This window comes from Homo sapiens, chromosome 5 (assembly GCF_000001405.40).
Source record: "Homo sapiens chromosome 5, GRCh38.p14 Primary Assembly".
Taxonomy (NCBI): Eukaryota; Metazoa; Chordata; class Mammalia; order Primates; family Hominidae; genus Homo; species Homo sapiens.
Window position 1 is genome coordinate 59,401,417 of NC_000005.10, and position 27,958 is coordinate 59,429,374.

Here is a 27,958-nt window from a genome sequence, read left to right on the forward strand (position 1 = left end):
CTCTGTTTCTAATACATATATTAGAGACTATCTATCTATCTATCTATCTATCTATCTATCTATCTATCTATTTTGATCCCATGGGGGAGATCACTCCTTTAATAATGCAAGAGAGTGAATAAGATGGGGGAGGGTGGCGTGCAATTGAGAGATGAGCTTTATACTGGAATACCAAGTTTATGGTGTGGAACTCTGGGGTATTACACTGAAATGTTAGGGGTTCTCAGTGGGTTATTTGTCTCTTTCTATTAAACTCCATTTACATTTAGCTCTGCTGATGTTGCTCTTGCAGCAATTGGTTTTCTCAATTAACAGAAAAGGGAGAGGGAACAGCTTAAAGCCTTGGCTGTTGCCGCTCAGCAAGGGAACTGTGCTGCTCTGGAGAGAAAGGTCTGGACATTGTGAGTTTCTGTTTATTTACTTTGTTTCTGACACACCTGTCTTTCAGGAAGCCTGGCAGTCCTAAGCTGAATGAATAGCATGCTGGAAAGCCCTTCTTTTGAACTAAGTTCAGGGCTTTTCTTCTAAACTGAGGTGCCCTCACAACACATGTTCTGCCAACCACCCGAAGGTCAAAAAGATTTTCTGGATGTTTTTGAGACAAAGGGAATTCAAAATCTGCAAGGAATGGCCTGGGGCATGATAATTCTGAGAGACAAGATTCTCCAGGCTATGCACAGAAAACCAACTTTTTATGTTAGTATTTAACTCAAGTAGAATCAACAATGGCATGGAAATTCGTTTTATTTTGCTTTTCCTAAGGAGGATCATCTCGTTTAAAGTGTGAATTCAAAAACTCACTATTGTGATAGAGTGACCTCTTTTCATCCTAATTATTTTCCATAAGTATCCTGCTTGCTAGTGAAAAGACTGAAAGTGAAGAATACTAGTTATAAATCATCTTTAGAGTGAGAGCTGAAGTGAGATAATTTAACCTGAACAGCACAAGCTGTCCCTGACATCTGCAACTTCACTCATCACCAGCAGTGAATCTGCTGGTCTGATTGGCCAGGTGTACATGTCTCCTCTCCCGAACGGTCAGGGGTAGCCAGTCACACTTCTGCCAATAAAGAGCACGACAAGTCCCTACTCTACAGTTAGTGACCATGTTAAACCTATCAAAGATTAAAGGGGAAATGGGGTATTCCATTCAAATGTTAAAAAATTCCAATCCAAGATGTCTACCTATTATCATGATAATCAACACAGGACATTTATATCCAGAAATTTGGTTGCTTTGGTTCCTTTTATATTTACAAAATAATTATTAAACTAACCCACACACCCCAAATTGTATGCACAGGGCTTAGAACAAGTTGCAGGAGTCTTTTGTGCCACCCTCTTCATAAGGCTCTCAAACTATTTTTTTTTAAATTCCATATTTCTAACTGACTTTCTATTATGAATGATGAAGATTTCACACTCTTTCACCATTTCACCTCTCTACTTCCCTCTTTCTATCCTCCCATTACAGTTATATAACAATTATTGGCTAAATAAACATTCAGTGTTCTATTGTATCATCCCTGCAAAGTAACGTTTACTGATAAACCAAATGATGTGCCATAATTATGTTTTATTTATGGAACAACTTTTTGTTTTTTCTGGAGTTATATATTACCTTCTTTATTTGATTATGTGACATTATCACCAATTTTTCTAGACGTCTCCAAAACATAATTTTTTAAATTTTAAATTTCTGTTGGTACATAATAGGTAGGTAGGTAGACAGACAGACAGACAGACAGACAGACAGACAGATAGATAGATAGATTGATTGATTTATGGGGCCCACGAGATATTTTCATACAGGCAAGCAATGCATAATAATATCAGGGTAAACAGGGAATCTATTACTGCAAACATTTACCCTTTAAGTTACAAACAATTCAATTATATTCTCTTAGTTATTTTGAGATGTATGATAAACTACTGTTGACTGTAGTCACCCTGTTGAGCTATCAAATACCAGATCTTATTTGTTCTATCTAATTATATTTTTGTACCCATTAAACATCCCCACTTCTTACTTCCTCCCATCCACTACACCTCCTAGCCTCTGGTAACCATCACTCTAATCTCTATCTCCAGGATCTCAATTCTTTTAATTTCCAGCTCCCTTAAATAGTGAGAATACGTGAAGATGATCTTTCTGTGCCTGGATAATTTCATTTAACATAACATCCTCCAGTTACATCCATGTTGTTGCAAATGACAGGATCTCATTTCTTTCTATGGCCGAACAGTACTCCATTGTGTATATGTACCACATTTTCTTTATTCATTCGTCTATTGAGGGAAACTTAGGTTGCTTCCAAATCTTGGCTACTGTGAATAGTGCTACAATAAATATGGAAGTGCAGATATATTGATTTCCTTTCTTTTGGGTGTATACCTACCTAGAAGTGGGATTGCTGGATCATATGGGAGTTCTATTTTTAGCTTTTTCGAGGAACCTCCAAATTGTTCTCCGTAGTGGTTGTACTAATTTACATTCCCACCAAAAGTGTAGGAGTGTTCTCTTTTCTCTACATCCTTGTCAGCATTTGTTACTGCCTGTCTTTTGGATAAAAGCCATTTTAACTGGGGTGAGATAATATTTAACTGCAGTTTTGATTTGCATTTCCCTGATGACCAATGACATTGCACACCTTTTCATATGACTGTTTGCCATTTGTATGTCTTCTTTTCAGAAATGTCTATTCAGGTGTTTTGCCCATTTTTAATTGGATTATCAGATTTTTTTTCCTACGGAGTTGAGCTCCTAATATATTCTGGATATTAATCCCTTGTCAGATGGATAGTTTGCTAATATTTTCTCCCATTCTGTGGGTTGTCTCCTCACCTTGTTGACTGTTTCCTTTGCTACGCAGGTATTTTTAACTTGATGTGATCCCATTTGTCTATTTTCGCTTTGGTTGCTTGTGCTTGTGGGGTATTACTCAAAAAATCTTTGCTCAGGCCAGGCGCAGTGGCTCACACCTGCAATCCATGCACTTTGGGAGGCCTAGGCAGGTATATCACTTGAGGTCAGGAGTTGGAGACCAACCTGGCCAACATGGCAAAACCCTGTCTCAACTAAAAATACAAAAATTAGCCCAGCATGGTGGTGTGCACCTATAGTCCCAGCTACTCAGGAGGCTGAGGCACAAGAATCACTTGAACCCAGGAGGCAGAGGCTGCTGTGAGCTGAGATCACACCACTGCACTTCAGCCTCCAGTCTGGGCAACAGAGTGAGACTCTGTCTAAAAAAAAAAAAAAAAATCTTTGCTCAGGCCAATGTCCTGGAGAGTTTCCCCAATGTTTTCTTTCAATAGTTTTATAGTTTGAAGTCTTAGATTTAAGTCTTTATTCCATTTTGATTTGATTTTTGTATACGGCAAGAGATAGAAGTCTAGTTTCATTCTTCTGCATATAGATATCCAGTTTTCCCAGAACCATTTATTGAAGAGACTGTCCTTTCTCAATGTATGTTCTTGGCACCTTTGTCAAAAATGAGTTCACTGTACATGTATGAATTTGTTCCTGGGTTTTCATGCCAGAACCATCCTGTTTTGGTTACTATAGCTCTGTAGTGTTATTTGAAGTCAGGTAATATGATTCCTCCAGTTTTGTTCTTTTTGCTCAGTATAGCTTTGAGTATTCTGGGTCTTTTGTGGTTATACATGAATTTTAAGATATTTTTCTATATCTGTGAAGAATGTCATTGGTATTTTGATAGAGATTGCATTGAATCTGAAGATTGCTTTGGGTACTATGTACATTTTAACAATATTGATTCTTCCAATCCATGAACATGAAATATCTTTCCATTTTTTGTGTTCTCTTTAATTTCTTTCATCCGTGTTTTATAGTTTTCATTGTAGAACTCTTTCACTTCTTTCAGTAAGTTAATTCCTAGGTATTTTATTTGTAGCTATTATAAATGGGATTACATTCTTGATTTCTTTTTCAGATTGTTCACCATTGGCATATAGAAATGCTACTGATTTTTATATGTTGAATTTGTGTCTTGCAACTTTATTGAATCTGTTTACCAGTTCTAGTAGTGTTTTGGTGAAGTCTTTAGGTTTTTCCAAATATAAAATAATATCATCTGCAAACAAGAATAACTTGACTTCTTCCTTTCCAATTTGAATATCCTTTCATTCTCCTGTCTGATTGCTCAAGGGGTAATGGACATCCCTGTCATGTTACAGATCTTGGAGGAAAAACTTTCAATTTTTCCCCATTCGATATGATACTAGCTGTGGGTCTGTCATATATGGCTTTCCTTGTGTTCAGGTATGTTCCTTCTATCCTCAGTTTTTTGAGTTTTTATCATGAAGGGATGTTGAATTTTATCAAATGCTTTCCCAGCATAAATTGAAATGATCATATGTTTTTGTCCTTCATTGATATGATGTATCACACTGACTGATTTACATTATGTTGAACCATCCTTGCTTCCTTGGGAAAAATCCCACTTGGTCACGATGACTAATCTTTTTAATGTGTTGCTGAATTTGGCTTGCTAGTATTTTGTTGAGGATTTCTGCATAAATGTTCATTGGGAGTATTGGCCTGTAGTTTTCTGTTTGCAATGTGCCTTTGGTCTGTTTCGGTATGAGGGTAATACTGGCCTTGTGCAATAAGTGTGGAAGTACTCCCTCCTCCTCTATTTTTCAGAATAGTTTGAGTAGGATTGATATTACTTCTTTAAATGTTTGGCAAAATTAAGCAGTAAAGCCATCAGATCCTGGGCTTTTCTTTACTGGGAGACTTTTCATTATGGCTTCAATCTTGATGGTATTGGTCTGTTCAGGTTTTGGATTTCGTCATGGTTAAATCTTGGTAGGTTGTATTTGTCTAGGAATTTATCATTTTTTTAGGTTTTCCAATTTATTTGCATATAGTTGCTCCTAGTAGCATCTAATGATCCTTTGAATTTCTGTGGTATTGCTTGTAACGTCTCCCTTATCTTTCCTTATCTTTCCTTCCCCCCCCCCCCCCCCATAGAGTCTTGCTCTGTCATCCAGGCTGGAGTGCAGTGGCACAATCTTGGCTCACTGCAACCTCCGCCTCCCAGGTTCAAGCAATTCTCCTGCCTCAGCCTTCTGAGTAGCTGGGATTACAGGCACGTGCCACCACGCTGGCTAATTCTTGTATTTTTAGTAGAGATGGGATTTCACCGTATTGGTCAGGCTGGTCTCAAACTCCTGACCTCATGATCTGCCTGCCTTGGCCTCCCAAAGTGCTGGGATTACAGGTGTGAGCCATTGTGCCCAGCAACATCTCCCTTTTCATCTCTGATTTTATTTATTAGCATCTTCTTTCATTGTTTTAAATTCTAACTCTCTTTTGTTCTTACTTGATAATTTTGTATAGTATCCTTTTGTTTCATTAATGTGATAACTTGTCATCTGTCTAGGGCTACGAAGTTTATTTTTTCTGAAACGTCTATTTGTTTCTTAAACTCTTTTTATATCAACCTAATCATCATCATTATTTTCATTTGTTTGCATTAGGCTTTTTGTTGAAGAATTTCCTCAGAGTTTTGTGGAGACTTGGCTATCTATTCATATTCAACAGGGAGACACTAAAATACTGACTGGGAGCCTTGAATGATTTAACTGGACTTGTAGAGTCTTGGGGTTCATTATAGGGTGGTGTTCCTTGAATGTCCCCTCCAATTCTCATGTTGAGATGTAATCCTCAGTGTTGGAGGTGGGGCCTGGTGGGAGGTGTCTGAGTCATGGGAGTGGTTCCCTTATAGCTTTGTGAGCAAGTTCTCATAAAATCTCTTTGTTTAAAGGTGTGTAACACCTTCCTTCCCGCTCTCTCTCTTGCTCCCCCTATTGCCACGTGAGATAGCTGCTCTCTCTTCAGCTTCCACCATGATTGAAAGCTCCCTGAGGCCTCTCCAGAAGCTTAGCAAATGCTGGCATTATGCTTGTACAGCCTGCAGAACTGCAAGCCAGTTAATTTTCTATTTCTTCATAAATTACCCAGTCTCAGATATTTCTTTATTGCAATGCCACAACAGCCTAATATAGAAGACTGGTACCAAGGAGTGGGGCATTGCTATAAAGATACCTGAAAATGTCAAAATGACATTGGAACTGGGTAAGAGACAGAGGTTGGAAGAATTGGGAGGGCTCAGGAGAAGGCAGGGAGATGAGGAAAAGTTTGAAACTTGGTAGAGACTGATTAAATGGTCATGACCAAAATGCTGATAGTGATCTGCAAAGTAAAGTCCGTGCTGACAAAGTATTAGGTGTAAGTGAGGAACTTATTGAGAACTGGAGCAAAGGTCACCCATGTTATACCTTAGCAAAGAACTTGGCTACATTATATTCATGCCCAGGGACCTGTGAAAGTTTGAACTTAAGAGTTAATGACTTAGGGTATCTGGCAGAAGACATTTCTAAGCACTGAAGCAATTGAGATGTGACCTGGCTGCTTCTAATAACCTATGCTCAGATGCAGAAGCAAAGAAATAACCTAAACTTGGAATTTTTACTTAAAAGGGAAGCAGAGCTTACAAGTGTGGAAAATTTGCAACCTAGCTATGTGATAGAAAATAAAAGGCCATTTTTGGGGAGGAATTCAAGCAGGCTGCAAGCAATCATTTGCTAGGGAAATTTGCATAACTAAAAGAGAACAAGTGCTAATAGCCAAAATAATGGGAAAAAGGCCTTTACAGCATTTCAGAGATCTTCTAGGCAGCTCCTCCCACCACAGTCCCAGTGGTACAGGAGGACTAAATGGTTTAGGGGATAAGCACAGGGCACCACTACACTGTCTACCTCAGGAGGCTGCTCCTTGCATCATGGTCCATCCAGTCCAGCCGTGGCTCAAAGAGCCTCAGGTATGGCTCAGGTTGCCACTCTGGAGCATGTAAGCTGTAAGCCTTTGTGGCTTCCTTGTGGTATTAAGCCTTCAGATAGAAAGAATGGAAAGAGTGATCCTAGTCTCTGCCTAGATTTCAGAGGATGTATCAGAAAGCCTGGGTGTCCAGGCAGAAGCATGCTACAGGGACAGAGTCCTCACAGAAAACCTCTACTAAGGTAGTGCAGAAGGGAATATGGGATTGAAGCCCTGCCCACAAAGAATCCCCCCTGGGGCATTGCCTAGTGGAACTGTGGGAAGGAAGCCATTGTTCTGTGGGTCCCAGAATGTAGATCCACTGGCAGCTTGCATCCTATACCTGGGAAAGCCGTAGGCACTCAACTCCAACCCATGAGAGCAGTCATGGAGGCTTCACCTTGCAAAAGCTGTAGAGGCAGAGCTGCCCAAGGCCTTGGAGTCTACCCTTACATCAGTGTGACCTGGATGTGGGACATGGAGTCAAAGGAGATTATTTTAGAACTTTAAGATTTAATGACTGTCCTGTTGTGTTTCAGACTTGGGTGGGGCCTGAAGTCATTTCTTTTGGCTGATTTCTTCCTTTTAGAATGGAAATGTTGGCCAGGCATGATGGCTCATGCCTGTAATCCCAGCACTTTGGGCGGCTGAGACAGGTGAATCACCTGAGGTCAGGAGTTCAAGACAAGCCTGGCCAATGTGATGAAAATCCCCATCTCTACAAAAATACAAAAATTAGCTGGGCATGACAGCGGGTGCCTGTAATCCCAGCTACTCAGGAGGCTGAGACAGGAGAATCGCTTGAACCCAGGAGGCAGAGGTTGCAGTGAGCCAAGATTGCACCATTGCACTCCAGCCTGGGTGACTAAGCGAGACTCCATTTCAAAAAAAAAAAAAAAGAATGGGAATGTTTACCCAATGCCTGTACCTCTATTGTACCTTGGCTTGGAAGTAAATAACTTGTTTTAATTTTACAGGCTCATAAGTGGGAGGAACTCATTTCCAGACAAGATTTTGTATTTGGACTTGGGACTTTTGAGTTAATGCTGGAATGAGTTATGACTCTGGGAGACTGTTGAGAAGAGATGATTCCATTTTGCCATGTAAGAAGGACATGAGATTTAGGGGGCCAAGGGCGGAATGATACAGTTTGGGTGTCCCCTCCAAATCTCATATTGGGATGTAATCCCCAGTGTTGGAGATGGGCCCTGGTGCGTGGTGTCTGGGTCATGTGGGCAGATCCCTTATGGCTTGGTGAGTGAGTGAATGAGCTCTCTGAGATCTAGTTGTTTAAAAGTGTGTGCTAACTCCCACAACCCCCTTACTCCTGCTCTCACCATTTGAGACACCTACTCCCCTTTTGTCTTCTGAAACAACTACAAGTTCCCTGAGGCCTCCCCAGAAGCTGAGCAGATGCCAGCACCATGCTTGTACATCCTGCAGAACTGTGAACCAATTAAACATGTTTTCCTTATAAAGTACCCAGTCTCTCAGGTATTTCTTTATAGCAACGCAATAATGGCCTAATACATGGGGTAATTGAGGAATAAAGACCCTTGGCTTCTTTATTGGGCAACCATCTAATGCCAGTACTATAGGTCTTTTCTCTGGGTGGTAATTCCATTTTTCTGAAGAAGAATTCTTCTTGGTTATTTTTATTTTTAATTTTAATTCTTATGAGTACATAGTAAGTATATGAATTTATGGGTCACATGAAATATTTTAATACAGGCATACAGTGTGTAATAATCACATCAGGATAAATGGAGGAGCCATCATCTCAAGCATTTATCATTTCTTTGTGTTACAAACATTCCAATTATATTCTTTTAGTTGCTTTTAAATATGCAATAAATTATTGTTGACTGTAGTCACCCTCTTATGCTATCAAATACTAGATCTTATTCTTCCTCCCCACTACCCTTCCCACTCTTTGATAAATGGCATCCTACTCTCTATCTCCACGAGTTCAAGTGTTTTGTTTGTTTGTTTGTTTTGTTTTTTTCTTGAGACAGTCTCACTCCATCACCCAGGCTGGAGTGCAGTGGCACGATCTCATCACAACCTCTGCCTCCCAGGTTCAAGTGATTCTTGTGCCTCAGCTTCCCATGTAGCTGAGATTACAGGCATGCACCACCATGACTGGCTAATTTTTATATTTTTAGTAGAGATGGGGTTTCATTATGTTGGCCATACTGGTCTTGAACTCCTGGCCTCAAGCAATCTGCCTGCCTCAGCCTCCCAAAGTGCTAGGATTGCAGGCGTGAGCCCCTGAACCTGGCAAGTTCAAGTATTTTTATTTTAGTTACCAAAAATTAGTGAGGACATATGCAGTTTATCTTTCTGTACCTGGCTTATTTAACATAATGTCTTCCAGTTCCAACTATGCTGTTGCAAATTACACAATCTCATTCTTTTTTTATGGCTGAATAGTACTCCATTGTTTATAGGTACTGCATGTTTTTTTGCATCCATTTGTCTGTCGATGGGACACTTAGGTTGCTTCCAAATCTTAGCTATTGTGAATAGTGCTACAATAAACATGGGAGTGCAGATATTTTTTTAGACAATTTTTATAGAAAAACAATTTTTCTATCTCCTCTCTTGGCATTATAAGGCTAACTGACAGAGTTCTTATTCCCAGGTGCTACTAGAGAAGTCAGAACTTCACTATTCAGTTGATAGACTTTCATTTACTCTCTCACCTTCCAATGTGCCTAGTATCCCCAGGTTAAGACTTCTCTTATTTATTTTTATAGCATAAATTTCCATTCTAATGAGGATAAAGTGGCACTGGTCTCCTAGCTGAGCAGGGTGAGAGGAGAACCTATGGAGGACTCCCCTTCATATGCAGATTTCTCATCCACCTTCCCCCCTTTTTAAGATTCTTGGTTCCTCAATTGCCATCTTTCAAGATTTTGACAAAGGGAATGGTTTGCTGGTTTTGCCCTCCTCTGTGGGCACTTTGTAATTAGCATTCTCAACTTTGTTGATTTTTTCCTCTCCTTTCCATTTCCTAAATTGGTCCTCTCACATCTCTAGTTGTTTCTTCTCGTCACCCTTTATTACTGACACTTTATTGTCTTCTATTCTTTACCGTCATTTGACAAGAGGGCTTTCAAAGGTAGCAAATAAAAAAGACTGTATTAATTTTCCAGGGCTTCCATAACAAAATACCACAGATTGGGTGGCTTACACGACAGTAATACGTTTTGTCAGTGTTCTACAGTTTGGAAGTCCAAGATCAAAGGCGTCAACAGGTTTAGTTTCTCTGAGACCTGTCTCCTTGGCTTTCAGATGGCTGCCTTCTTACCATGTGTTTACATGGTTGTCTCTGTGTGCATGTGTCTAATGTCTCTTTGTGAGTCCAAATTCCCTCCCTTTATAAAGGTATCATTCAGATTGGATTAGGGGCCACTCTAAAGACCTCATTTTAATTTAATCACCTCTTTAAAGACCTTATCTCCATGGTTACATTCTGAGGTACCAGGGGTTAGGACTTCAACATTTTGAGAGGACACAATTCAGCCCATAAAAAAGATCACATTTAAAACATTTTAAAAAATTCTTAACACTACGCCAAATGTATTGCAAGTATTCTCTATCCTTTTACTTAATGACGCTGGGACCATCTATCTAAATGAACACTGCTCTCTGAAATAGCACTCTTTTCATTAATGGATTCGCTCACTTATTAAATATCAATTATCGTGCATCTATTTTTGCAAGGTTCTTGGTTTATCAGCACAACAGGATACAGAGGTAAGCCAGACTCAATATCTATATACAAGAGGGCTTTGTTGAGAAGGATAAGAACAGGAGGCTTTTTATTTCTGTGATGAACTTTTATAGGATACTTTAAAGCATAAAATATTTGTCAACTCCTTAATGGTGGTTATTCTGAAAAGAACTTGAATGTTTTCAAGGGTTGTACTAATGCAGTCATCTTTTACATTAAATGCAACGTTTTGTACTTTTATTTTTTTTAAGTCACTTCTGTTACCCAGAAGTCAGGCACTTATAAAGGCTACTTCTGTTACTTTCTCTTGTCACCATTTCATTTCAGGAAATCTAACAGCTCAACTTTCAATTGCAGAAGAGAAAGTGAAGAATTGAACAACATAAAAAGCATACTCCCCTCTGCGGTAGTTACACATCCACAATTACGCTCTGCTTAGGGCAAGTTGGGAGCACTGGAGTGGGGGAAGAACTGATTATAGAGGGGAGCTGAGGGTCTGTAGCTCATGGCACGGCTCCCAACAATCTGGCCCATGGCTGTTCTTACTTGGCAAGCACATGAAATTGAAGATCACTGCTGCATCTCATGCTTCTACAGGGTATTGATCCATGGAAAATATTAATGATTAACTTAAGCAATACAATGAGAGGTTGTTACTTTGTACTGGCAATCTTTGACTTGATCCCCTATACAAATCACATGCAGAATGAGTATAAAGCAAAAAGAAAATGATTGTTTCATTTACTGGTAAGTTATTCTGGTCCTTCACCAAAATATGGGAAACTATTTTGGTCTAACATGAGACTACTCAATGAGAAGTCATAACTGATATCCCTGAATTTTTTATAGGTATAAGGTTAAGCTTAAGATGATAATTTATCCGAAGTCTTCTGAACTCTGTTTTTCTTAGGCAGTTTTCTGTATCTTGGCATTGCTGGTACTATATTATGGTAGATATGAAATCAGCCAAATTTAAACTTGTCTATCTTTTGTTAGAAAGCATTTGGAGGAAAATTATCTACATTTTAGGATTTTCCAGTTATAACACTGTTGCCTGTGGCAATTGCACTTGCTATTAGACTCTTCCTGCCCTTTTTCAGGAAAAAGAAACTCAAGTGTCATTTGTTATTCTTGATACCAATGCTGAGTGACCTAACAAAAAATGCCATGGTTGGCTGGGCGCGGTGGCTCACGCCTGTAATCCCAGCACTTTGGGAGGCCAAGGTGGGCGGATCACGAGGTCAGGAGATCGAGACCATCCTGGCTAACACGGTGAAACCCCGTCTCTACTAAAAATACAAAAAAATTAGCCGGGCGTAGTGGTGGGGGCCTGTAGTCCCAGCTACTCAGGAAGCTGAGGCAGGAGAATGGCGTGAACCCGGGAGGCAGAGCTTGCAGTGAGCCGAGATCGCGCCACTACACTCCAGCCTGGGTGACTGAGTGAGACTCCATCTCAAAAAAAAAAAAAAAAAAAAAAAAGAAATGCCATGGTTGTCTTGTTGCAGGTATTCTGTATTTGCCTACCATACTATGCAGTGTCCTTCTTACAACCACCTAACCTTTCTCCCTCCCACAATCCCTGAACCTGGGTACAATTGCATGTAGATAAAGATTGACAGATGGTTAGCACATATATTGATCTAGGCAGATAATCTCACAGATGTGATATGCGGGAAATAATAACATCAAACAGCTTTGGAAAAGATGTGTAAACACTGTGAATTTTTTGCTTCTATCACTTTAAGAGTTGGACTGATTTGGGAAGGACTCAAACTCTTCAAGTCTAGAGTCTTCATAGATAAAATAGGGACATTTTCAACTTCCTCCTAGAATGATGCTTTCTTGTGGGGACTGAATGAATCAATACACATGAAAGTGCCTCTCTCCCTTGATATCTACAAATACATGTGCACACACACAAATATACACATACACACACACATATATATATCTGTGCATATCTGCTCAGAATTCTATTATGCATTTGTTTCAGTCCAGACACTTGCAGTCTAGTTTAGAAATCAAGCATGAATTGTATAGCAATCCAAATGACAACAAAATCTTACAATGAAAGACATTTTAGAAGCTACATGATTACATATCCTATGACTGTACTGAAAGTAACAGAGTTCACGTGCTCCATCTGAACCCTCACTGAATGCCAGTGCACACGTTATTCTTAATACTCAAGATAGTTCTGCACCTTATGTTTTGTTACTGTGATTTCAAAGATATGGAATGTGAACCTCAGAGAGGGTAGGCAACTTGGCGGAAAACAGAAGAAACAGATCCACTTGGACCCCAAGCCTGGCCTCCTTCCATCAGGCCACCCAATCCTGAATTTGAAACACAGTGAATTGCATCATGCTCCGCAGTCTTCATCATGGAAGAGGGAGGGACTGGACCTTGAAGAAAGGGTAGAATTTGGGCAGATCAAGAAGAATGCAGGGACACTTCAGAAGAGGAGAGGATGCGAGCCAAGGCATGGAGACACAAACATTGGGGACATATTTGTGAGACAGTAATACACCAGTTTGTCTATACCAGAGGATCTGTGTGGATGAAAAGCAAGAGAAGGAGCCAGAAGAGTCAAGTGGAGCTAATTCTGAAGGCCTGGAATGCCAGACAAAGGAATGTCATTCACTAGCTCATACAGAAAATGAGAAACTGTCAAGAAACCACTGTGCTCTGTTACAGAGATATCAAGATATCGAACAAACAACAAAACAAAACAAAAATAACAACAACAAAATAGTCTGTGTAGGGCTTAGAGCCCATGTACTCCTATATGTGGACTAGGACTCTGGGGCTATGGCAGAAGTCTGTGTGGAGGGCCATGACAGCACAAGGAAGGGAGTTGTCATTTGGATCTGGCATGGAAGTTGTCAAAAAAGGTTTCACAGAGGACATGGATTTATGCTGGAAGTGACGGGCAGTGAAGAAATAGTTTGAACTGTGGAGAGTATGATAAAGATACCATTTTCAGAAAATGAACTCAGTAGCAGCATCCAGAGGGCATAATGTGGAGTGATGGCTAGAGTCTGGAGACTGAGGCTAATTAAATAGGAGATCATTGCAGCTATCCATGCAAAAGGAGAGGGTAGTGGCAGTGGAAATGAAGTCACAGGAAAGCATGAGATTTTACAGTGTACATCTCAGAGGACTTGACCTTCTGGCAGATAAAGCTGATGAGGGAGAGGAGGATTCAGTGATCACTCTAAGGTTCTGAGTTTAAGTGGAAAAATAGCAATGTCCTGAAGAAAAATACGGGATTTTCTTCAGGAGAGCTTCTTCAAGGAAAAAGGTGTGCTCAGGTGAGGAAACTGAAGCATAAAAAGAGAAAAAACTTGCCCAGGTTGGCAACAACTTGCCAATACAGTCAGTGAGTGGCAGACTCTGAGTTCAAACCCAGATAATCTAAATATGAACTGTCTAATACGGCAGCCAATGGCCACAAGAGGCTGTTGGGCACTTGAAAGGGGGTTAGTATGACTAAAGGACTAAATTTTTAGTCTTACTTAATATTTATGAATTAAAAGACTGATAGTTGATTTAATAATACTATATTTGGAACAACTTGGGAAGTGAATCTATATTTCTAATTGTAAATCTTATGAGATCTAAATGTCCAATAAAGATCCAGTATAATTGAGGACAATTGGGCATCCAAATTAATATGTGATGTAAGTAAAAAATACATACAGGATTTCAAAGACAAAGTATGAGGAAAGAATGTTAAATATCTCATTAATAATTATATATATTGTTTACAAGTTAAAATAATCTGATACAGTGAGTTAAATAAAATATATCCTTGAAATAAATTTTACCTATTTCTTTTTACCTTTTAAATGTGGTACCAGAAGACCTAAAATTACGAAGTGTCTCATAATATTTCTATACTCCAGCGTTGGTCTATATCCTGAGAAATACATAAATGAGAGGTCACCTGCATGAGATGAGTGACGTAGTTAATGGGATAGGCTATTCCTTTCCTAACTCTAAATCTCTATTTTCGGAAGATGACTGAGGAGAATGCCAACATTGTCTTAATTCAGTGGCACAGTGGGCCCTGAACATGATCACATTGTTAATCTCCCTACTCTCTTGTCCGGGTCAACAATTTCACAGTTGTCAGAAAATGAACAACTCAAATTCCCCTTTCTTGGTATATCTTACATTTTTTTATGTCTCAAAGGAGAATTATTTCATTCACATCTGTTTCTGTCTTTCAATGACCAGCTCTATCTTCACGTCAGTCTCAATCTAAAGCCAATTTTATCAGAGAATCCCAGAGACAAGCCCAAAGAGGACTTCTTGGATCTGGCCTGAGAAAATAGTAACCAGAAAACCAGGGGCTATTCAGGATCTGGGTGTAGCCTGTATGCCTGAATTTTTTTCCATGGGGGTTCGTTCGTAGTCTGATAGTGAAATCCAAATGGTGTGTTTGAGAACTGTTGACAATAATCCAGATGTTTGCTCTACTAAGAGTCATATGTGTAATAAACTAAAGGTGGACAACTTCAATTGAATGGAATAAAAGGTCAGAGCTAAGCACTTGTAACTCTCTAGGTATTGCAGGAATTCGGGTAGTATCATTTATAAAGAAAAAGAATCTAAAATTCTACCAATTTTCAGGCATTCAGTGCATATGAAGCAATGTGTCCCCAAAGTTAGATCATCCAGATGTTTTATGTTAATCAGAGTAAACATATGATTCATCACAGATTCAACAAAGTCAAAGGCAGAAAATTCACATCTACTTGCAAGCTAAGGGGTGTAGTGCTTTTTCCATTTTCTATGCCAGCTCTCTTGACATACTTAGCACTTACCCATAGAATAATTGAGGTCATTGGATTTATAATAAAATGCCATTACAAGAAATGCTAATAAAATTATATGTTCTGTACATATAGATGTATACATATACATATATTTTATATAATTCTGTGTGTACATATTGCATGTATGTACATACAATACATATATGAAGTATTTCACCCAAGAGATATTCCCACTTTTCGAAATATTGTGTATGAAGTCTTAGTACAACAGATAAACTATTCTACTTTACTCCTTTTTAATTTCTAGGTATTATTTTAACATATTGGCTGTATATCCTTTGTTAACAATTCTCTATAAAAGAAAACTTAAGCAAAAATTATCTATAACTTTTCATTTATACATTATATTTGGTATATATCATATTAAAATGTACAGAATGCTAAAGTACTATATCTATTGATTATAGCAATGAGGTGCTCACACCGATAAGGCAAATAAAAAGTAACATCTCCAGCCAAGAGCATTGGGGAAGAGATAAAGAAATCCATTACAAAGGACATTAAATGCATTTGAAACAGCTTCAATAAAATACCCAAGCTCCTGGGAAAATAATGTATCTAAAGATAAAATGGTTTTCAGAACTACTGAAAGGGAATAACACACAAATATCCATGTCTAGCCAAACAAAACAACTGTACACCTATTGAACTTCCAGTAAGAAATGTTTGGTTAAAAAGAAAAAGCTGTTACCTTTTTTTTTTTTAATAAACAAACAACATAATGAAAAATGATAGAGCACTCAAGCTCATGGCTAACTTTCACTGTGTGGCCTTAAACATACTTCTTTCCAGTGACAGAGTACTAGTACTATTTTTTGTTGGTTTCTTCTCTGTTCTCCTCTACAATTCCAAAATTATGTAGTTCTATCCACAGCCAACAAATCTCTAACAATTATGCCAAACTTTGGCTGATTTCTGGCAATTGTACCACTTAAACATTCATATTTATTGCTGAGGATGTAATAGTAGGGCAGATCAGTCCATCACAATGTCTCTAGCAAACATTCGCCGCTATCTACTTTATTCCTAGCATGGACCATTCCACGTTAGGCCCTAATTACCTGCACTTTTTGAAAAGCAAAAACAACAACAATAACAACAAAACGCTTTACTTTTCCTGATAGGTTTGCATTTAGCCATTGCAGAAACATAGAACTTAAAAGAATACAAAATTTAATATTGTAATCCATCATCTTGTATTAGTTACCACCTTATTACCTGCAAAGCAAATGATTGCTATAAGTCCCCTCATTAGTCTCCTTACTCTAGTCTTCTGGTATTCCAAGGTGTGTCTTCATTGCTGCCACTTCATTCTTTCATAAGCAAAGCTATGATCATAGGACTCCCTCTCTTCAAAATCTTTAATAGCTCACCTTAGTTTAGAAAATATTCCTTTGCTTAATTTTCATGACCCTAAAAATATAGTCTCATTCTCCTTTTCCTGTTTTATCTCCTATCTACATGATTGCCTCTCAAGTTCAATAAATTCTGACCACACTCAATTTTTTTTCTATAAACGTTCATGTATTTTCCTACATCCACACCTTTGTGAGATTGTTCTCCCAGCCTGAAATGCCCTTCATCTTCAACTCTGCATAACTGAATGCAAGCTGCAAGACCAAATGTCATTTTATCTACAAAGCATTCTCTGATACTCCCAGTTGAAAGTAAATTCTCCCTTCTCAGAGCTGCCAAAATATTTTACTCCTGCTTTCTCCATGGTACTTAACAGAACACATGGGACAATATTTAGAGAACAGATGACTGGTGCCTGGGTCCCAACTCCAGGATTTACCTAACAATTTTTTTTTTGTTTTTTTGAGACAGAGTCTTACTCTGTCTCCCAGGGTGGAGTGCAGTGGCACGATCTCAGCTCACTGCAGCCTTCGCCTCCCAGGTTCAACCAATTCTCGTGCCTCAGACACAAGAGTAGCTGGGATTACAGGTGCATGCCACCACACTTGGCTAATTTTTATTTTTGGATTTTTAGTAGAGGTTTTACCACGTTGGCCAGGCTGGTCTCAAACTCCTGGCCTCAAATGATCTGCCCACCTTGGCCTCCCAGACTGCTAGGATTATGGGTGTGAGTCACTCACTGCACCTGGCCACATTTAACTAACTTTATGGTCTTCAGTAAGACCTTTGAATCTGCTGGGTCTCAGTTTTCTTATCAGTTGATGTGATAGTCAAAGGAAACAATATATGACTATCTACTTTGCAAACTGCAAAGTGCTATGTAATGTGAGTTCATTCTCTGCCAGCCACCCTCTTTTTAGGCACTGCCTTTCAGGAGAGTACTTCATCCTCTTTCATGACCTTATTTGTAAGATAATCCCTGAATAGCCCAGCTGGTGGTAGGTGTTTGGTCTAATGTACTCCTAGAGGACTATTAAAGTCCTTATGTAGTTATAATTTATTTTTCCCTTTGAATTTTTGTCTGAGCAGTTCGACTTTGATTTTTTTGAAGGCTAAGAATTTTTCTCTCTCAGTTTTGCATTCCTAGCTGAAAATTTTGAAATCAGTTCCTATTCAGTAAATGTTTGCTGCACAAGTGAATGTATGAGTGAATTAAATGAATGAATGAATTTACTGATATCTTAATGTTGTGGACAGTTATTTATGTTTAGCACTTATCATCTGTCTTTAGATTTTAAGCTCCATGAGGGCAGGTTCTTTGTATGATCCATGTTTGTATCCTTATAGTTACATGTGCATTATATAAAATAAATACTTGCAGAAAGCTGAATAGAAAAAGGTAGCTGAGCTGGATGACATGGTAGGAGGCTCCTGTGCATAGAGTTTCCTGTACAACAGTTTTTTTACTGACGTGCATGCAATCTTAACATCTGTTTAATTCACAAATGAGGCTAATATTTATTATTGACATTGAAATTTCTTTTCAAATTGAATAAAAGAATGTCTGTAAACATAGATACATCTTTTGATGGTAGAGTAACACAAACTTCAGTGGAGTCATCTCTTAGATTATGTGGCAAGAATCTGACATAGTCACTTTTACCGTGGAGAACCCCTTGAATCACCCAATGTAAGGCAAAATGTTCACACTCAACAGTTCACCAAAGGAACTGAGATGGGAAGAGTGGTAGATCCACATCTCCTACCTCAATCACACTTACTAGTGAACATAGATCCATTGCACGTGGTGGCAGATGGGGCATCTGGAATTGCTCTATTGGAATTTTTATATCTCCCTTGCTCTATCTCTCCCATTTTACTTAGCACGTGTATTTGAATTTGCATCGGTAAGTCCTTGGATGGTGAAACTGTACTGAATTGCTCTTTTACAGTATCAGGTTCTCCTCAGTCACAGTACGTGTAAAATTTCTCAATAGCTTAGAAAGATTAATGGGTCTGTGTAAATCTCATTATCCCTTAAGTAATTTAACCCCAATGATCCCCATTGTAACCCAAATCCTAGTCTGACTTGGAGAATCCAGTGTGGTAAGTAAAAATGGCAATTTACCTTTAAAAACTGCCAGTGATGTGCAGGTTAACACTCATCTTCCTACTTTATTTTGAGATGACTTTGAACATATACTGAAGTCAGAGACAACAGCAACCCCAGGGCTGGAATGTCCTGCTTCCACAGGACTCATCATATGGGATTCCCAGCATCTATCAGCCTTAGAATTCAAGTGGGTTTTTCCCCAGAGGGAAGACTTTGCTGACGAAATGAAACATCAGGGAGAAGCAAAATCTCTTGCAAATCAAAATGGCCAAGAACTCCCTTGCTAGCAGAGTATGAATCCTACCACAAGCAACAGAAGGAGAAAATTAGATTGTGTTACTCTTGATGTCATAGCCACTGGATTACTGCACAAGAAAAAAAAAAAAAAAAACAAGAAAAGAAAATGGAAACTTGAAGAGAACAAAGAGCTGCTGGTATTCACAGTGTTCTTGCTATATACATGATGGATTGCCATGGTAACACCAGTATCATATGAATCATCTTACATCGGATACCGGCATACATTGTTCAAAAATAACAGCACAAACCAGAGCACATATTTTCAGTCAGGGTAGCAGGGGGCAGGAGGGCGATTTAGGAAAACTGTTTACCTATCATAAGGGTGAGTTAAATAATTTATTATCGCACAACTGACTTTGAGACCTCCGTACGCGTATGTGTTTGTGTATTTCTAACTTTTGCCTGAATTAAAAATCAATGAGTAAATGCCGTATGCTTCAGTAATTCCTCATAGACTATGACAAACTGAAGTTTATACATTTTGTGAGCTGGTTTATTGTGAATTCTCATACAATCACAAGCTTGGATTTCAAGAAATCTTAGGAGAATTTTGAACGTTTTCATCATGAAAATTAGGCAAATTCATTGTTTTTTGATTCAACCATTGCTTAGAAAGAAACATCAGAGCAGTAGAATTTGTATGTTTATACTCGAGGTCAATTATAAAACACAGTACGTTTTAGTGTAATTTACTAGTACTGCAGAAATGTGAATATTGCTATAGCAATGAAAACCAACCAACAAACACAAAGACCTTTGGGGTGGATTATATGAAAACCAGCAATGTGGAGATCACTTCAGAGGCTCTTACAGTAGTTCACATCAGTTGGCAATATTAATAAAGACAGAGTGGAAGGGACTCATATAAGAACATTATAGGTAAAAGAAGACTTGATGATGAGAGACAGTGTTAAGATAAAGGAAGATGACTAAGGTGACTCCTGTGTTTCTAGTTTAGATAACTCTGTAGTAATCAATCCAACAAAGAAATAGAAGAAAAAGACCAGATGGTAAGAGTAAGATGATGAGTTCAATTTTGGCCATGAGAACAACTGAAATAATTTCCAAGCAGTTAGTAGGAGTCTAAAGGGGAGGAGTGGTCAGAGCTTGAGATGTACATTTGGAAGTTGCTGAAAGAACTTTTTTTTAAATAAAGAACTCATTGCCTGCTAATGGAATGAATTTAATGTTTCTCCAAAAGGGTACACATATATTTACTGTCTGATTACTTTTGTACTCTCAGTTGAAAAAAAATGAATTTTACAAGAATTTATTGAATATCTATTATGTACCAGGACCCAGACAAAGCACCAGACACATAATGGTTTAAAACATAGGCTTCAACCTTGTTTCCATGGTCCTATGATTGAACGTGGGAGGAAGCCCTTAGGCCAATAAAATACATAAATATGTAATTGCAATTGTGACAACTGCTCAAAAGGAGACAAGAACCCAGTAAGAGTACAAAAATAGGCACCTAACATAGTCTGAGCGTTTGGAGAATATTTCCCTGGGGATGATGAGGCCTGAGGATGAGTAACAACATGCTCTACTGAGAACCACATGAATGAAGCACTGACCATCTTTTCAAATTCAATGCACATTCCATCTTGTCTGAGGAGCTGATTACCTTTTCCTTAGACACCTGTAACATCCTTCTCATCAAATTTCTTCCCTTAGGGGCCCTTCTCTCCATCACCACTAAACTATTTTCCTTCCTAGAGCAACCTTCTTAGGGCAATATGAAACACAACATTATGGGCCAAGTCCAAAGTCCTGACTATTGTTTCAAAGGCTGTTAGTAGATTGTTCACCTTCTTTTGCCTTTGAAAGGTGCCATCCTGAGCCTGGAATGCTTTGTCAGCATTCGCCACTTCATTTATCATAGTTTACAAAGTACGATAAAAGGTGATAACAGAAGCTTTCCGTTTGTAGTTCATCCATGTAATAATTTTCTTCAACTTAAGAGCAAAGCCATGAAAAACTAAAAAGAAAGTTCCAAAGAATTATTAAGTAATTTAATGTCTCTTATTGGATATAGAAATGGGACTATCATATAAAGGTCATCAAGATTGTGTAGTGTCTTGTACTTTGCTGACAGTAAACATTCCAAGTACTCTAACAATTCTCATTCCACTCCTTTTGGCAAGCGAGAGGCTGCATGGTTGGGTGATGGATAAATGCTGAACTGATTGCAGAACAAAGGTCAACATTTATGACAGTTTTTATTAAACTCTAGCAGTTGGGAATAGATTTGAAAACTGACCTTTTTCTTTTTTAAATCTCAGTTGGAAAATATTACCTATTGTTTATTTCAATGTTTTAAAAACCTCAATGATAAATAAGACACAAAGAATATGTTTTTAAATTGCATTGCCAATGAATAAATTAATAAATAATCACTTGTTTCTCTCCAAAATGAAATAAAGAATTATTGGGTTAATTAGCATGTAAGAAAACAGTAGTCTCCCCTACTCATCTTCTCCAGTTTATTTTTGCCACTCTCCTCTCTGCCTCATTACACTTCAGACACCTTATCCTTTTAGTTTAACACATCAGGGCTTCATTCATGTGGTTCTCAGCAGAGTATGTTGTTACTCATCCTCAGGCCTCATCATCCCCAGGGAAGCATTCTCCAAACACTCAGACTATGTTAGGTACTTATTTTTATACTCTCACTGGGTCCTTGTTTCCTTTTGAGCAGTTCTCACAATTGTAATCACATATTTATGTATTTTGTAATTGTAATGAAATTGTCCCTGTCAGGATTTCACACTGCTTCCTTCTGTTGGTGTAGGGATTCATTCTTTTCCATTCCAATTAATGCAGCATTCCATTGCCAAATTTTTTCTGAAACAACTCTTTCCATCATGCCACTCTTAGGGAGGAGGAAAGATAGAAAATATATAAATTAAGATTTATTATGATAGTGCAGTAACAGACACAGAAGAAAAGAAAAACAGCTAGTTAAGGAGGCACTTCCATTTGGAAATAGAAAATTATGAAAGGTCTTCTAGGAAAGATCTGTGGAATGATGGGATTCATCACAAAATGAGGAGAGAATGGAACTCTAGGCAAAAAATAGGTATAGCTAGTAGTTATTTATACCTAAAATACACAGTATACATGGGTGACAAGGGCAATTTACAAGGATGCAGAGATGTGGAAGGGAATAGATCATGATGGCTGGGAATGTAACCTTTTTTTTTTTTTTTGGTAGCCACTGAAAAGCTAGTGGTATAAGCATGGAAGCGTCATGATGGCATTTTAGAAAGTGGATCTGTGGATGACAGTCAGGAAGAGGATGTTGATAGAACAGAGACTAGTTATAAAGTTAGCGGTTTTCAGGCAAGATAACATGAGGGTTGGACCCAAGATGGTAGCAGTGGAGATGGCATCAAAGGGTGAGGTGAAGGAGGAAGAGTGTACCTGCAACTGGATAGTGGTAGAGTGGTTAGGCTGAGGGAGAGGAAGCACTTAGGAGGACTTCCAGGTCTGGGCCATAAGAAAAAAGGACATGGGAGATGGGGAAGGTCCCTGGGTAATTTTTGTTTCAAATCTATTGAGTTTGGCAGCACTACATAGAGAAGAGAATGGGGAACTGGAGATATACATTCAAGTTAAATCTGTTACTGCTAATAATTTTTACCCAGAAGTAGGGAGAATTAGAACAAATTCTGAGGATAATTTGAAGTTTTGTTTAAAGTGAAAGGAAGGGCCTCTCATCAAAGAAAGTAGTCCCTTTGTTTTCAAAGTTTTTCCTTCATAAAACGTGTTCTTTGCTGTATTCGTCTGTTCTCATGCTGCTATGAAAAATATCCAATACTGGGTAATTTATATAGAAAGGATGGTTAACTGACTCACAGTTCCACATGGCTGGGAAGGTCTCTGGAAACTTACAATCATGGTGGAAAGCAAAGGGGAAGAAAGGCATCTTCTTCACAGGGCAGCAGGAAGGAGAAAGAGTGCCAACAGGGGAAATGCCAGATGCTTATAAAACCATCAGATTTCAGAGTACTCACTCACTATCACGAGAGCAGCATGGGGAAACTGCCCCCATGATTCAATTACCTGCTACTAGGGTCCCTCCCACAGCATGTGGAGATTAAGGGAACTATAATTAAAGATGAGATGTGGGTGGGGACACAGCCAAACCATATCATTTGCTATTAGGATGAGCTGGTTATGATGAAAACACACAAGTAGTCACACATTCACAATCGATGGGTCCATGCATTTAGGCAAGAGTTCAGCAGAGCTTCACATACCAGGCCAACAGGATGGTCGCTTAATATATGTAAGTGTATGTGTAATTTTGCCTAGTATTTTCACCACTACTTGAAAAGCATATCTCAATGTTTATTACCTAGTCTGGAGCTACAATAATGTATTTGATCATTTATTCAGCTATCTTTAATGAAATCTTAGTAGTCTCCCTACTGAAAGAATAATAAGCCCTGAAAATGCAGTAAAGCCACACTAATTCAGACAAATCAGAAGACAGGATGGTTTGAATTACTGAATGCTTTATATTATTTTAAAAGTGTAGCAGTTGTCCATTTTTAACCAGGCAAGAAAGTGTTATCTTGTGCTTACCACAAGAAAGGTAAAAGAAAGTATTTTCATGAATACCTAAAAAATATCAATCATCTAGATATAAATAAAGGTCTTAAAAAAGCTCTGAAGTTCTCCCTGATTTAATTGATTCACATAAGGTTTTTTCCACCTTAGCACTACTGACATTCTGGGTCAAATAATTTTTTGTTGTGAGAGGCTGTCGTGTGTATTATAGGAGATTTAACATCCCTATTCTTTACCTACTTGAAATCATCAGCTACTTCCCACTTATTACAATAAAAAAAGTCCCTAGACATTGCCAAATGTCCCCTGCATGAGAGGTGGAGGGTAGAATTGCGTCAGTTGAAAATCACTACACCCCTCAATAATAATTTTAATACCTCCACTCCTCTTGATAAAAGCTATAAAAAAGCAAATGTTAGTCTAGGCCACGTTTGAATGATTATAGAGTTCAAAATAAGGTGGTTGAATTTGATAAAGATTTATTGTTTGCAATGTGTACTTGTTTTTCTTTGGTACAGAAAATGGGACGTATTCTTCTCCGCAATGCCTCCCTCGTGCAGGTTCATGCCCATTATTGAGTCCACTTTTATGAACATGAAGCCACTAATTATTCAGGATTCACAGTCGGATTACTATCTCTCTCCACAATCATTATTAGTAAATCATTTCATGAGCACAATTTGTTATGGGCTGAATTGTGTCTACCCCAAAATTTGTATGCTGAAGCCCTAAATACCAGTATCTCAGAATGAGACTATATTTGGAGATAGGACCACTAAAGAGGAGATTAAAATTTAAATAAGCCTTTAGGGTGGGCCTTAATCCAGTCTGACTGATGTCCTTATAAAAGCAGGAAATTTTGACACATACAGAGATCCCAGCGATGCCTGCGCACAGAGGAAAGGCCATGAGATAACACAGTGAGAAGGTGGCCATCTGCAAGACAACCAGAGTCCTAAGGAGAAGCCAGACCTGCTGACACCTTGACCTTGGATTTCACAGCTTTTGGAATTGTGAGAAAACAAATTTCTGCTGTTTAAGCCACCAAATCTGTAGTATTTTCTTATGACCGTCCTAACAAATTAATACACCATTTGAGTAAATTAATAGCTTGATGATTGGTCATAAATCTAAGTGCATGACCTTGTGATCGTTCCACAAGAAGAGAGCAGGCTGGTTTACCTTCACTCACACTTACTGTATTCCTTCCTGTCTTCTGGATCTTCGTACCCTGCTTTTTTTCTGATCCCAGCGATAATAGGGAGAGCAAGCCTACCTAAAGGATTTAGAAAAACAGAGGCCAGAGAGTATACCAGAACAGCTGCATCACCAGAAAGAGGGAGCACAGAGCAGGCAGCAAGGGAAGGACCCTCACCAGCACTCCCACAAGCACCCCCCTACCACCCCACCCTGCCCCGACAGTAATGGTGTCAAGCCACCAAAATGCAGGGAAGAAGGCGGCTGGGTGAGGTAAAACATGACACCCGGCTGTGAAAAGTAGTGCTCAAGGGCACTTGCTTTCCATTGCCTTGGGGTGCCAGTGGCTACTGTCTCACCACATTCACTGCTACTAGTTTTTATTTTCCATTTTGATTAAAAAAAAATGTGACTTTTACATTATAGCAAGACAACAGAACTGGGGCTTATATGTCATAATTTTTATAACTGATTTTATGAAATTTTGTGCTTCTATCAAATTTCTTACATTTTCTTACAGTTGCAGTATTGTTTCCCTCTAGGAAATTCCCCTCTGCCACCTCCCACAGTGACTTTTTCTCCTCCTTTCTACAACTTGAAGCTATACACACACACACACACACACACACACACACACACACACACACACACACACATTACATATATACAAATATATACTTTTATGAATACAGAAGTGAATTATTTCAGGTTCTCCTTTGCTGACCTGGTAATGACAAAATGCATGATCCCCAACCACTTAAGCCAGTAATCTAAAGTCAGTGCTACATGCAGTTTCTACAGGGAAACAAGGAAAGGGAATTTAATTGATCCAAATGAATAACAGAAGCAAAAATCTTGCCAAAGACTCCATACTGTGGCATACAGGGAAGTGATTTTATACACACACACACACACACACACACACACACACACACACACACACACGCCCCTATGCCAAAATATGTACCATGCATTTTCTAATCATTTATTTATTAAACAAACATTTATTATTTAACCTGTTCTGGGCTCTATGCTGGACACTGGGGAAGTAACAACAACCAAGACGTGATCCACACACTCAAAAACTTTACAGTCCAATTGGGTGAGGATGGGTTAGAAGAGCCAGATTAAATCTGATTTTTAAATCTCTGTATGAAGGGCCAGGCTTGATTGCTCATGCCTGTAATCCCAGCACTTTGGGAGGCCAAGGCAGGAGGGTCATTTGAGGCCAACTGTTTGAGAAGAGCCTGGGCAACACAGCAAGACCCAGTCTCTCTAAAAACAAACAAAAAAATTAGCCTGGCACAGTGACCTCAACTACTTGGTAAGCTGAAGTGGATCATTTGAGCCCAGGAGTTCTAGGCTGCCCTGATCTATGATTGCTACTGCACTCCAGTCTGGCCAACAGACACAGACCCTGTCTCAAAAAAAAAAAAAAAAAAGAAATTGCTATACTAAAATTGAGACATAAAAGCTTCATAAAATTGAAAGAAAATTATATTTCTTACAAAAGAAAAAGTGGGACAGTACAATTTACAGAGGCTACCAAAAATTAAAAGGAAAACATTTTTAAATCGCAAATATAGAAAGTAATTATAATCACAGATGGTAGGGTTGTCATTCTCGTCAACATTGAGTTTACTTAAGATTTAGTATGTTAACTGCTTTCTTGATGTCTTCATTGCTGCTCTTGAAATAAAAATTGAGACCAATTAAATGATCATGTGGTCATGTGTCTAATCTAGGTGATTTTCTAATAATTTGGGAATTATTTCCCTGTTTTCCAAGAAAAACATGCTGTTCTTTCAAGAAGTCATTATTTTATAAGGATATACTTAGCTTTAAATCGAGCTATGTTTTGCACTTATGCATTTGATTTCCTACTTCATTTTCTCTATGGATTTTCGTGAAAAGCCAATTTTTTTTATCTTTTATTTTTTGTCCCGCAATCTCTGCTTCTTTGGGTAGGCTGAAATATCAACTCATAGCTACTCTTCTTTAGATGTCTTTCCCTCCCTCCCTTCCATCCTTCCTTCCTCAGATTTTTTTAAGTAATTAGAAAACAATTTTCTTTCTGCCAAAAACCACAACCGAGATGATATGAAAATAAACATAAACATGCTACTTTAGATAAATCTTAGTCCCAGCAAGCATTCTGAAAAAGAACCATTCAAAACTTAGGTAGATTTTAGTGAATCTAAGATGATGACTCACCATTCCAAGTGTATTGTTTTCTCAACAGATTCAAAAGAAGTTGAGGTTTTAAAATTTACAACTTAAGAAAATGAGTAACAGAATAAAAAGACAACCTCTATGATTTGGATGTTCTTCCATTCATTCATCCACCCCTCTAACTATTGTTTTCATTACATGTTTGTTGTCATATTTATCCTTTCGTAGAATGAAAGCTCCAGATGTAATAAGTTAACTTTTTATATAAAATTTATTTAATTGATTTACTAGCCATAGGTAAGTAATGTATTCTACTGAAAGAAAAGATGGATCTGGTATTTTTACAAATCCCAAGACCTATACAATTAAATACTAATTATTGTAAAATGCCTTTCAAATATATTTTCTTGTAAAATACACTGTGATGCCCAATTTTAAGCCTAAATAGGTATATGTCTGAAATTTTCTGGGTCTATGCATATACACAATATACATAAAAACATAATTTGACTGACTTGTACAAAAAGTTGATTACTTTAAAGCAGAAAAATTAAGGTAATATGAACAGGGACATTAGATATTCATGTGGATTTTGCAACTTGTATGGATTTGTAGTATCGTCCCACCAACTAAAGAAGGGAATGAGGTAACTGACAGCAACTGAGCCATGTTGGGTGTCTTAGGACACACTTTTCTGAATGTATTTTAAAATAGTTGCTTGGTGCTGCTAGCCGGTCATAAAGTCAAATAGTGATAGAGCTGGACAGAAAAGCCTTGATACTCTGGAGAAAAGAATAAAATATTGTCTC

The 27,958-nt window shown here is 38.3% G+C and overlaps 1 protein-coding gene across 26 annotated transcripts in view; it reads right to left on the reverse strand.

The window, feature by feature from the left end:
* PDE4D (phosphodiesterase 4D) overlaps positions 1-27,958 on the reverse strand; it is a 1,553,091-nt gene that overhangs the window by 432,379 nt on the left and 1,092,754 nt on the right. The gene's annotated exons all lie outside the window — the stretch shown is intronic.